Below are 13545 nucleotides of genomic sequence, written 5' to 3'. Positions count from 1 at the left end.
TGATAAGGTATAGCTGAGGCTGGGAGCTCATTGGTTAGATGATCACTGGGCAAGGATCTGGTGGATAATATGCCAGAGACATATGAAGGTGTTGATGCTTAATGCACCTTTCATTCATGAATTTCTCTTCCGTGAGATGATTGCTGGTAATATTCCCCATACACATATCATAAAGGTTGTTTTGTTTTGTAAGTAGGCAACTTAGTTCATCAGCCAGACATCAAACTGCGAGGCATCCCGTAACCTTAGCGTTCTTGAAAGAGCATCCACCACCAATACACACACATTTGTTTAAAATACAATACTGTAAGAAAATAGTAACAAGAGGAGGGAAAGAAGGAGTGGGTTTTAGATACCTCATACATTCATGTCTTGATATTAGGGAAAGAAGTCTCAAATGTAAATACTTCCTAGTTCTCTTAAAATGTCACTCTTGTAATATTCAAACTTATTTTTCTCTCATTGTCTATGATGGTCATAGTGATGGGCAGTGAGTTTGCTTTCTTTTATAATAATCTAGGTGCACTGTAACAGAGAGGTAGCACCTTATCTTGATTCTAGATGCTTTTATAATTAACAGCACTTGGTATAAGTTCTACATTGGATAAGTAAGACCAATTTGGGATTATTATTATAAACACTCATGTTTGTGGGAGAACTATGTGACTCTAGATTATAATTCTCCCATGAAGAATGTCATCTAATAAAAAATGAGTTTTAAAAATCAACATAAAGACAGTAAAAAGAGAGAGAAAAGCCTTTTTAAATGATCAACCAACTGTTAGGAGAAAAGTACACTGGAGTCTTGCAATATCAGAACTAATATTCAAACTCTCAATCTGTTTGGTTAAAAAAGTTTAATGAGCTGTAAAATAAATACACTTCCATTAAATATTAAATAAATTATTTACAACTTGAAAAAATACTTTTTACCTTCGTGCACCTTTATATACAGAAATAGCATAAAAAGTGACAATTGAAAGTTTAAAACCATCATAACAAAAAGGGTCCATTGTCTTATGATCCACTGGAAAGAGGACCGACTCATCATTTATGGCTATGACTTGGCAGTGACTCCAATGTGATATCCTGTGAGAAAATAAAATAAAATAAAATAATAAAATAAAACAAAATGTTACAGATAAGCTCAATTCCAGCAGAGCTTTAAGAAACTTTAAAGCATAATCAGGAATCAGAATTTCTGTCAGTTGTTTTCTAGTACATCGTTTGAGAAATGCTAAGATTTTTCAGAGACCAACTCTTACTTCGGCTTGAGTTCCTCTTTCACACTTGCTTTGATTATACACCTAGTTCAGTAGAAGTCCACATATGCTCAAATCTGTTGCATCAAATTCTGCTTAATAAAAATGCAACAGCAGTCATGAGAAATAGTTTTCCTAACCAAATCTATGCAGTGGACATAATTAAAATCAAAGATTAACTGTCTCAGCATATTTATGATATATAGTTAATTTAGGAAAATTAGTACCAAGGGCATAATAATAGTAACTACCAGTTAATAGGCACCCACTATGTGCTAGCACAGCATATTCTTTTTCCTAAAATAATTCTGGGATCTATGCTAAAAAATCTCAGTGGCAAATAACCAAAAATCCATCCTTATTCACACTGGTGGTCTTAGCTTTACCAAAATTAGCCAATACATTAAAAATTTTGATGTAATAAATACTGAGTTTAGCATTGGTATGAATAATTACCCATTTTATGAATTATTGAGCTAATTCTGCAATAGGCTAAAAACAAAATATCTGTACTTAACCAATGCTAAATATAGCGTTGTTCAAGTATCAGAACCATCTGGAGTGTACATTAAAAATAGAATTCTGATTCAGTAGATTTAGGGCTGGGCTTAGGAATATGCATATTCAACAAGCATCTCAAGTAATTCTTTTTTTTTTTTTTTTTTAAGATGGAGTTTCGCTCTTGTTGCCCAGGTTGGAGTGCAATGGCGCGATCTTGGCTTACTGCAACCTCTGCCTTGCAGTTCAAGCAATTCTACTGCCTCAGCCTCTCAAGTAGCTGGGACTATAGACATTCACCACCACACCCAGCTAATTTTTTGTATTTTTAGAAAATTTTGTATATTTAGAAAAGGTTTCACCATGTTGGCCAGGCTGGTCTTGCACTCCTGACCTCAGGTGATCCGCCCACCTCAGCCTCCCAAAGTGCTGGGATTACAGGCCTGAGCCACTGTGCCCAGCCCTCAAGTAACTCTTAAACCTACTGAAGTTAGACAATCAATAACTGAAATGACATCATCTTTCTTGAATGTTTAAGGAAATAAAGTTCCTTCTTCTGACAAACTTTAAGTGTGTTCTTGATTTCCTTGCCTCCCTCTTCCTCTGGGAGTTTTCTTCCCTAGCTGCTCACTTTCATTATCAACGAAATATTCCTCTTCACGCCTTTTTACCTTATACCTACAACATGCTCAGTTCTCTCTCTTTACAAGAAAATATAAGTTTTCACCAACCTATTTATCAAATTTACATCCCCCTCCCTTTCTACTTCCTTTTGTAAAAAAAGAGCATTCAACCTATTGTCTGTCTCCATGCCCTCACATTATCAGTGCAAGCACCCGCAACTGTGGCTCTCCACCATGTGAGCTCAACCTATCATCACAACTGTATCTCCCCTAACACTCATTTAGATTAAGCCATTTTTCACAAGTTTCTAAAATTATCTCTTCCATTTCTCAGTATAACCCTTTCTTTCCCTTCACAGTTTCTTGAACCAATCTCACTAGTCCTTCAACGTTCACTTCCAAGGCCACCCCGAACACATCTTTTCCTCTTCCCTAAATAAATTCTACTGGATTCTTTCTGTTTTTCACTGGAAACTTCTCATACTCCATTGGTTCCTTTCTCATGACATTTATTTTACATCCCTAGTATTCTGGTTTCTTACATTTTTTTCCTATCTACTAAACAATAACTTCTTTGAGAACTGGACCAGTGTCTCTTATATTTATATCCCTAATAATACTTATTAAACACGTAGTCTATTCTCAACATTGAATTCCATCTTATACTCAAAGAATAATACTTTAACATAGCCATTGTTCATAGTGTATATATAATTAAGAACACATTCCATATTTTTCTTGAGATTATATAGTGTTAAATTTTTCAAAATTATAGGATATGATCTAAAGATATATTTTAAAACTCAAACCTGTAATTTTATCTTCAGTTATGCTATAGCATGTACATTTCCATTCTCTTGTCGAAGTTTCTTTCGTTCCTCAGCTTCTCCTTCATATTTCCTGACGTATTGTCTTCTAAGCCTTCAGAGAACAAGGCATTCTAATGTTATCAAGGTTCTATTCATCTATATGTTTGATTGGGGTTTTTATGAGTAGAGGGGGTTCCACTTCATGAGTAGTGATAGACCAGCAATCACTATACTTGACACTAAACCTAAACCTGGCTATAAAATATTACCAATTTCTAAGGGGGTATTTATGTTGACTGTATATAAATCCATTTCCAGAGGGCTTATATTTAAATGTGTCTTGATATACCAATTCTGAGAAGGTATGAAACACATCCATATGTCTTGTTTTTGCAGAACTTAGTACAGCTGCCATGCACAATTGGAGAAGATGATGGTATAGTTTTGCCATAGGAGAACTCTATACTTGCACAAATTAAATGATTAAATATTTTTGAAACAGGCTTACAAAACAAGTTGAGCTTTATTTATTTCTAGGTATAAAATATATCCTTCTAGTTTAATTTACTGCTGCTTTCCACTTTAAAAACTCAATTATTTAAAAACTTCTTGTTGTTGTATAAAAACCCCCTGTTGTTAGGAGGTCTTTAACCCACCACAAAACATTATCATTAAAATCATAAAAAGTTTTCTTTTATTGTAATAGTTGAGGGAAAAACTCACCTCAATTATGAAAACAAACCCAGCAACTTTTGCTTAGGTTTAGTGTTTGTTTTATGTTTCAAACACAAGGAGAATATGGGAGACACGGGGAAAAAAGCCACTGCTTAATTTTAAGAGTGCTAACATTAACAAAATCTATCCATTCTTTCCCAAAAAATGATTAAATATTTCAAGTCAAATAATTACAAGTTTAATTATTACAAAACATCTTCCTTAACTAGCGATTGTTTTGTTCTATCCTTTAAAATAATAATGGTTTGTCTGAGAGTATGTCTCCTAAACACCTTTGCATATCTGCCTTGAGGTACTAGAAAACCAGGACAAATTCTAGTGTGTGCAAAATAAATTTAAGCTACATATCAAACTTGATATGCATGATGAAACAATTTTTATGTGTCATGTTATGATGATCTCATCTAAATTTAAAATAATTGTCAACAATGGCAGAAGATAACCCCTTGTTTCCTGAATGGTAGTCGTGGTAGATCATGTACACAAGTGGATAGCTGTTAAAGTTATTTACCAAGACCTAAAATTAGAAGAATGAGTCCCTTGCTTTTCCCAAGCTCTAGTAGCACATGAGTCATCACAGAGCCATTCATGTCCTCCCCCAACTTCCCTTATTCAGTGACTTCTGTTTGACAGACAATGCCATTTTGATGCACCCATCAGTGCCTACTACCTGGGACAGTCTAGTCCTAACATTTACTGGCCATGAAGTGAAGTGTGTGATCTGTTATTATGAGCACAGGGAAGATACGCTGGAGTGAAACAGTAATAGAATTGTCCTTGCTTGCTATGCCATGTCTTATGATGGAAATTTATTTTTAATAATTGAGTTCTCATATTCGATAGTAACAAAATAAGCATAAGCTCTAAGTAAATTAGTACCATGTTATAATATTCCTAACTCAGAATTTTGCATTCTAATATGAGCAGAAAACATATCTATTCTTTACTGCTGATGATTTGTAGTTCTTTGTCGTTTTTAGTATCAAAGCAGTATGTCTGATACTACGAACCTCCTATAAACAGGTCTTAATTAGCTCCTGAGGCTTGATGAAGCATAGGATTTCACAGTAGATATAAATATTTTCTGAGATTCTAAAGTAACCATGAGTAGAAAAATAACATGAAATAAAACCTTCAATTACTTAAGTTCAAAAAATTTCTAGATCTTCTATAAAAGGGCTTTACATGTTAAATTTCAATGGTGGCCACAAGTCATAAACATTGACCACTTTCTGTGATATTTGTCAATAAAATATAAAAATATAAACCAAAGATCAAGTGACAATATAATAATTCATCTAAAATACCAGAGTAGAGTATGAGAGAAATACTGAAAAAATTAACCTCCCATTATTTTATTAAGAATTTGTAAGTTATGTCATACTTACTGGACTGTAATAACAGCAACAGCTGTGAGGATCACAGCAGACATAAAGGCAGCTATGGCTGCTAATGCAATTTTTGATAAACTACTGTCAATCATGCTGTGAGTTTTCATGGACTTTTCCCCACACCGTTCACCGAAATATTCTTGCTGACATCTGCAAGCAATTCACATTTAAAAATTATAATCACAAAAACGTGCGGTGTGTTTTAAGCTTATTCTCCAGATCATAAAGAACCATTTAATTCCAACATTAAAAAAGTTATGCCATATACTCGTATTTTAAATAATGAGACACAGAATGCATTCTAACTAAGGATCTATTAGTATAAGAACAAGTTGAGATTAGTTTGGGTGTGATAGTTCAAGAAGACACGCCTTGTCATTCTTTGTGTTTCTTTTATGACCAACTGATGAGTTCAGTGATTTGTTATGCAGTTGATACATTCCAATATTATTTAATGTGCTAGCTGCTTGTGGGAGGTAAGCGGGGAGGAGGTTAAAACAATGTGAAAGATTATGCAAAAATTACCTTTAGGTCCTTTTTTAAAGGAGTTTTTAAAAAATGCATACACACACACATACATATATATATAGAAAGAAAGAGAGAGAGAGAGAGAGAGAGAGAGAGCAAGCAGGAGCATGCACAAAAAATAATGGTTTATACCAGGGGTCAGGAAACTACAGCCCATGGATCAAATCCAGCCATTTGCTGCTTTTTTGTTTTGTTAAACAACCTGCAAGCTAAGAATAGTTTTTACATTTTTGTTTTGTTTTGTTTTGAGACAGGGCCTCGCTCTGTCTCCCAGGCTGGAGTGTAGTGGTGCGATCACGGCTCACTGCAGTCTCAACCTCCTGAGCTCAAGCAATTAATTCTGCTACCTCAGCCTCCCAGACTGCTGGGACTACAGGCTGTCACCATTGTACTCAGCTAAACTTTTTTGTATTTTTTGTAGAGATGGGGTTTCACCCCATGTTGCCCAGGCTGGTCTCAAACTCTTGGGCTCAAGGGATCTGCCCACCTCGGCCCCCCAAAGTGCTGGGAATACAGGTGTGAACCACTGCACCCACCAATTTTACATTTTTAAATGGTTACACTTTAATTCGTTGTTTAAGTACATGTAACAATCTTGGCCCACTAAGCCTATAATATTTACTATCTGGTGCTTTAACAAAAAGTTTACTGACCCTTGGTTTATACATTGGAAAAATAAATGGTTTCCTGCAGTTAGGGGTTTCAGACATGGTGCTAGAAATACAAAATTCTATATGCTTTAGGAAAACTTACTTGCATGTTACTGCTTCCAGGTGCTCTATATATTTGCATTCTCCGTGAATGCAGAAATTTTGAAATTCTGCATTACATGGATTTTTCTTCTTTCTGTTTCTTCTATTTTTTCCATTTTTGCCTCCCTTTTTCTTTCTTTTGGGTTTATCTGAAGTATTTTCACTTTCCGTCTTGTTTTGGGGGGGCTTAACTACCTGTTCAACTAAAAAAGAAAAGATTTATTGACAAGAGTCTCTCAAACTTGAATATAATTTTAGAGACATGAGAGAAAGATGTCATAGCAGTGAGCGCTCACAGGGGTAACAGCCATGCGTGCCTCATTACCTAACACAATATAAAAGTTAGAGAGGACTGCATAACCCTAATTTATAATTTTCAGTTTTTTCTACCTGAAAGTAGTGTCCACTCATGATTATAGTTGGGAATTAGTGAGTACTACTTGCAGGTGGAAAAAACTGAGAATTATAAATTAGAGTTACTCTATGTTACAATGCTCCAACACCCAGATTACAACAGATTATAATCAAATTGATAATTTCCATGGAGCTCATTTTCGTGGTCAATCTATTTGAAAACAGGAGCCCAGGAATATTTGTATTCAGTGCTTCAGAGATTTATCTTATCTGATCCACAGAAACTTTTGTTCAGTCTTGCAGTTATGCAAGGTGTAGTTTACCCACATACTAAAGATAGCAAATGGCTTTGCATGTTAGTGCTGTGCATTTTGTTACACTAATGTCTGAAGAGGTTTATCCAAGTGAATATTTAGCAAACAGATTTCAGTAAAGAGAAAATACCATTAGTCATAATGGTCATGCAGCACCCATTCAATACAAAACATTAGAAACATAGTGAAGGTCAACTAGGGTATCAAAGATAGAATATCTGTGATTAAGGAAATGGAAAATAAATACTGAGTATTTTAGCAGTTTATTATAATAACATTTAACAAAAGTAAAATTAGTAGCAAATGTTTAAGAGGTGGTTATGCGATTTTTATATTGAAACTTTTCTCTGACGATAAAAAAGCACAAGACAGAAAAGTCCTTTAAGAGAAATATTTTGAATGAACGTTGTAACTTCACTTTGTCAGATAGATTACAAACTATAGACAGAGGCAAATAAAAAAGTCACTATGCTGAAGTGTTGCGATAAGCACTAACATCATGGACATTTAACTTAGCCTTTCGAAGGTGTTCAGCCAACATTTTCACTCTATTTCACAATGCATTGCAATTTTGAGCACTAGTCATCATTTGTACTACTAATCATTTACTTGGCCTTCTGAAGTGTTAACAACTTGAAACATGTTTAAGAGAACAGTTTCTAGACACCTTGATGGGTCTAATCTCATGCCTTCAAAAATAAGCACAAATGAACCCCTTACCCACCTCACAGAAAAGCACACTTTGAGAAGGAAGGGAATTAAGTGGAGTGTTCGCTAAAGGTTTTCTCACTTCCCACTCACCCAAGTCACTGTCCCTCTGGTACCACTTGATGTCCCTTCACCAGTTCTGAGAACCAGACAAGAGGGGGAGAAGCCAGGGAAACTCAAGTCAGGACAGAAAAGGCCTTCAACAGCTCTGAAACCATCTTGCCCTGCCTCTGTAGTGGATGCTCTTAGGATATTTAGATCTTATTTACTGTTAACTTCTTCTTCCTTCAGACTCCAAAGTATGCAATATTTCTCTCTTACTTTGGTACTTTCACTCCAAGCAAAGGGCCTTTTTAAAATATGAGATAACAGGAAAGTGAAAGAAACCATGGGTTATATAACTAACAAATGGGATTTGGGGTTAAAGAGTGATTTTAGCAATACAAAATCTAAGTATATTCACCCTTCTTTAATATTTCCAGATGGCATTATTATTATTATTCCATCAGCTTCTCATCACCTAGTACTTAAACGCTAAAGTCTAATGCCTCCTGTCCCATTACTTCCTTGTCCCCTTATTTGTGTTAAAATGCAGTTATCTGGGGAAGGGTGGTGTTGGGGAAGGGGATACAAAAGCTAAGATACAAAGTAGATAGGAATGGTTAATGTCTAAATTTGTCTCTCAGAATGGGGGTCATGTAGCATAGTGGGAAAGAGCTTAGTGTCTCTTCTGCATAGAATCAAACAGACTGGAGCTCTAATTCTAGCTCATCTGCTTGTCACCTGTAGAACCTAGAGCAAAACCTTTTTCGGCTTCAGTTATCACATCTGTAAAATGAGGATAACAATTCCTACTTAAAGTCATTGTGAAGATTAGGTTTAAAAATGAGACATACACCATTTATGATCACTCTGGCCATATAGGATGTGCCCACATTATGGTTCTTTTTGTCACAGTTTACCTAGGGGCTATCCAACAGATATACAATAAAGCCACTAGAAAATCTGGGGAGCAGCTTTACTTCTGAAGCAGCTTTGCTCATATAAACCCACATCTCACAGGCCATATTTTTGCTTTATCCCCTACTCACCTCTGACTGAATCATCGACAATATAGCCAGGTATTTGTGGTTCGTTATCATACTCTTCTGAGTAGTCATAGTCGGCTCCCGAGGACGGTTCACTACTAGAAGGCATTTCACTCACAGGGGAAATCTCACTCCCTGAAGACATCTCACTTCTTGAGGTAACCTCAAATCCATCAGCACTGTGGTCCCCAGAAAATGGTTCACGCTTCCCAGAGTAGGTGTCATTGAGGTCCAATCCAGCAGCATAATGGCCTGCAGGGGAGGGAATAAAGGAAGAAAAGAAAAGGTAAAGTAGGGTGCCTTTCGAGTCAGCTGTGTTAGGTAGAAAAGTTTATCTTTTGACATCAAAGCAGTTATTGCACATGTGCTATTGTTTGTGATTGAGTCATTTCTATGAAAGAAACTTTACATTTTTGCCAGCAAGCAAATTCAGCTGTCCCAATTACAGAAGTGCTTTTCTGAAGTTTTTCTTTTCCACAGATAATCCACATTAATTTCCACATCAAAAAAATCCCGCCAAATTGGCAAATTAATCTAATACAATTACTTGATGGGTAATGTCTAAAAATTCCCATCACTTCACATTCCAAATGCATTTCTTTTTTTGCTAGAATGCCATCCTGGCCTATTTCGGTAGGTTTTAGATACAAATATCAGATTTTCTTCAGATGTGTTCATATTTTTAAAAGATATTTTTAAAAGATGTGTTCATATTTTTAAAAGATGTGTTCATATTTTTAAAAGATATTTTTAAAAGATAATCTTTTAAAATAATATAAACAGTGGTTAATTATATCGATTATTATTGTCATTTTTCATTATCATTATTATTATTACTACATAGACAATAAACTGAGTACTAAGTAAGATTTGGGGCCCAGAGTTAAGCCACTGCTTTATCTTGCTTTTTCTTAGGTCTCAATAAAACAGCATCAGAGTGGTGCTTTTAACCTCTCGCCGGGATACTCTAAGTCCCTCTAGGAAGGTAAAGAAGAAATCACTAGACAGAGATGGAGAATTAGGCAGGAGGCAGCAAACACTGCTGGGTCCAATATCTGCGGAAATCACTTCACCTCTCTAGATCTTGGTCTTTTTAATCTTTTAATCTGTGAAACGAAGGGTTAGGTTCAAATGATCTCTCCCGTCTTCTCAGCTGAACTAAAGAAAAAGTACAGCGATTCTCTGGGACACCTTGTCCTGGACGTTTGAGACATCTGCCCTTCTCTTTTCCTCCTAGGGAGGGAGCTACAGTGATCACCTCCTGCGGCGCAGGGTCGGGGGAACTAAAGGGCGATTTTTAGAGAAGCAAGAGCCAAACTCAAGAGGCAAAACCTGCCATGGGAGGAGAGCCCAGCAGTTCAGCGCCGGTGAATCCTCACCTGAGCCGAGTATCAAGAGCGACAGCACCACCGGCGCCGGCGGTAGCAGCGGGGCTCTCATTGGTCCTTCGCAGCGGCGGCGTCTCGGTCTCTGGGGCAACTCGGTCTCTGGGACACGAGCTGCCGCCAAAACGAGCGGGTGTTGGAAGAGCGAGTGGAGACCGGGAGTGTGCGCCGCTCTCGAAGGCTTGGGGAGCTCGGGGCGGCGGGCGCGGCGCCTCGGGCTGTCCCGGGACCTCTGGGGCGCTGGCACCCAGGTGTGCGAACGTCTGTAGGGCGGCGCGCACCTGCCGCTTTATAGGCTCAGCCGGGAGGGGGCCGCAGCCCATGACGTCAAGGCCCGGCCGTGGGTGGAGGCAGGCGGCGCCCCAGAAGGTGCTACCCGAAAACCACGCGCGGAGGACACACGCCCCGCCTCCCTCGTGCGTAAGGATTCGCTGAGAGGAAGTGGAACTTAAACCTCTAGCTGCAAGCCGTTTTTGAGGGCGAGCAGGACTGGAGTTCCGGAGCTAGTACCTGACAGAAGTCCAGATGTTTCAAACTCTGACAACCTCTTTGTATACTTAACATCTACAACAGACAGGGATTAAATAGAAGAGTTCCGTATTTAGATGTAAAAGTACTTTAAGACCAAGAGTGACTTTGCCTGATGTTTCCAACAAGGATAAAGGACGAGAGAACTCAATGAGGAATTGCTTCATGTAGGATGGGCTTCTATCTCAATCAAGAGCCCCTTCCCACCCATTTCTGTGAAGTGGCCAGAATTTCAAATCCCCTCACTCCCTATTTCTTTATGTGGCCCAGGGGCCTCATCAACATTAATATTTATTGATGATTTATTATTGCCAAATTATGCACTTAAAATTTTACCTACACCATCTCACAGCCGATAATGTTCAAAGCCAGGTGGATATGAATTCTTCATCTGACTCTGAAATCTGCTGTTTTCCTCTCTGATGAATTTAGGTTTAAACTGATCCTTGAAAAGAGGGTTTCTGGGAAGAACAATATTTAGCCTAAAGGATAATTTCTACTGGTGGCATACTGGCATTTAGGTGAAGAGTAGTGCTCTAGACTGTGCCTCTCAAATCCCAAGATAAAAAGGTCAGCGTTGAGGGCCCACTTACAACCTAGTAGGATATTTAATCATGACAAGTAGATAAAATGAAGCGGAGACAGGAAGCTACTTAATTTGACTAACTTGGATGTACTGTCAACTAAAGAACTGGATTTTTCTTGACTTGAGGAAGAGAAAAAGCATTGTTCATTTTCCTTCACCTGGAGATATGATTCTTTCCTGATTGTTTCAGTAACACAGCCCTTTTAAGAATGTAGGTCAGGCCAGGCGCAGTGGCTCATGCCTGTAATCCCAGCACTTTGGGAAGCCGAGGCGGGTGGATCACCTGAGGTCAGGAGTTCGAGAGCAGCCTGGCCAAGATGGCAAAACCCCATCTTTACTAAAAATACAAAGGAAATTAGCTGGGCGTGATGGCGCGCGCCTGTAGTCCCAGCTACTCGGGTGGGCTGAGGCAGGAGACTCCCTTGAACCCGGGAGGCAGACGTTGCAGTGAGCCAAGGTCATGCCACTGTACTCCATCATGGGTGATAGAGCAAGACTCCGACTCAAAATAATAATAATAATAATAATAATAATAATAATAATAATAATAACGTGAGTCACAGTGCATCTGTCCTAATTCTGGAAATTTTTTTTTAAAAATCACTTATTTTTAATGGTATATCACAGTGCGTAGTCCAAATAATATCATGCATTTAGTAGAATGAAATAATCATGAATCATGCCTTCTATTCCACATTTGTTGAGAGTGTATTTTGTGTGAGCCACCTGCTTTATATTTTATGAAGGGGAGCAGTATAGGTTCACCAGGAGCTCAGTGGTGTGGGCCAGATACATAGATAAGTAATTCTAATAGATCACATGATGAGAAGGGTTCAGAGTGCCATGGAAAAAAAGGACATGGTTTAATTTTGCCTCTGTTTAATGGAAAGCTCTGTGGAAAGATGAAGAGGCCCCTCAAAGGCCTTCCCAGCAAATCTTTTACATGGAATAAAGACCTGATGTGAGGGTATGACCAAGTATGGGAAATAAGGCTAGAAAAGTGTCATGCCCATTCCAAAGTGAAGTAGGGGCCTGCACTGTTATCTGTTCTGGTGGATGAGGCAATTGTGATTCAGAGAGATTGAGAGACTTGCCCAAAGATTTCAAAAGATTCTTTTGGAGACTTTGTTTGGAGCTCACGCAGTTGGTCTACACTGTTGCACCTTTATGCTCCCATAGGCTTCATTTCTGTTCTAGGCCTGTTCTTCTCTTTTCTTCTTTTTTTTTTTGATTGACAAGTAACTTCATATTTGTAGTATATGACATGATGTTTTGATATATGTATACAATGAGGTTAAATCAAGCTATTTAACATATGCAATACTTTCCATTTTCTTACTCTTCTTATTGAGATGAAAACACATTGTGCAGATCAGTCATCAGAAATGTTTCACTTTTGGGAAAGTGGACTGTTTATATTGGAAATTGCTTAGTCTTTTTCCAGTTGGAAATTTATAGGGTGAACATTTACATGATCTAGGCACATAACCTAGATCATGGGGACAGCATAGCTTAGTGCTTTGGATGAGCTTTAGATTCAAACCAATGTGGGTTTTCATATACAAATTCCAGCACATACTAAGTTACTTAATATTTGAAAGATTCAGATTCCTCATCTGAAAATAAAAAATAAAGATAACTACATGCTTTTAAGCAGATCAAATGGATAAGATACATGAACAATACCAGATCCTAGCATAGAGTGAGTGCTCAATAAATGGCAACTATCATGAATACCCTTGATATTATGATAGTTACACTATGTAAATCATATTTAAGAACTGAAGGACTCTTATAAATGGAGCTACAGAGCAAGTGAAGTAATCTTCAATATTTTCAATCCATGAACTTAGTATTTACTTCACATTAAGACTAACCATTTTGGGTATTTTATGGTGCATCATTGGGCAGCATGGAGCGTCGTCACAACCACATCACATTGCAGCACCTATTGATGTGTCATGGCATTCTGGAATATATGCAT

The 13545-nt window shown here is 37.6% G+C and overlaps 1 protein-coding gene across 1 annotated transcript, besides 1 other annotated feature; it reads right to left on the bottom strand.

Annotated features, from left to right (window-relative positions):
- Window positions 1-842: 842 nt before the first annotated feature.
- On the bottom strand, window positions 843-10712 carry AREG (amphiregulin). The gene is made up of 6 exons (NM_001657.4): window positions 10442-10712; window positions 9066-9314; window positions 6600-6801; window positions 5316-5468; window positions 3193-3304; window positions 843-1089 (listed from the first exon to the last, which is right to left on the bottom strand). Exons 1-5 carry the CDS (start codon window positions 10500-10502, stop codon window positions 3211-3213), a joined length of 759 nt encoding a protein of 252 aa, NP_001648.1. The 5' UTR covers window positions 10503-10712; the 3' UTR covers window positions 843-1089; window positions 3193-3210.
- Window positions 9245-9445: a silencer, noted in NCBI's record as "peak5058 fragment used in MPRA reporter construct". NCBI's record gives its function as "represses an SCP1 promoter by STARR-seq MPRAs in K562 erythroleukemia cells {active_cell/tissue: K562}" and the evidence as "EXISTENCE:reporter gene assay evidence [ECO:0000049][PMID:32103011]".
- Window positions 10713-13545: the final 2833 nt, after the last annotated feature.

The sequence above is a fragment of the Homo sapiens genome, chromosome 4, assembly GCF_000001405.40.
Source record: "Homo sapiens chromosome 4, GRCh38.p14 Primary Assembly".
Taxonomy (NCBI): domain Eukaryota; kingdom Metazoa; phylum Chordata; class Mammalia; order Primates; family Hominidae; genus Homo; species Homo sapiens.
This window is presented reverse-complemented; position numbering and strand designations above follow the sequence as displayed.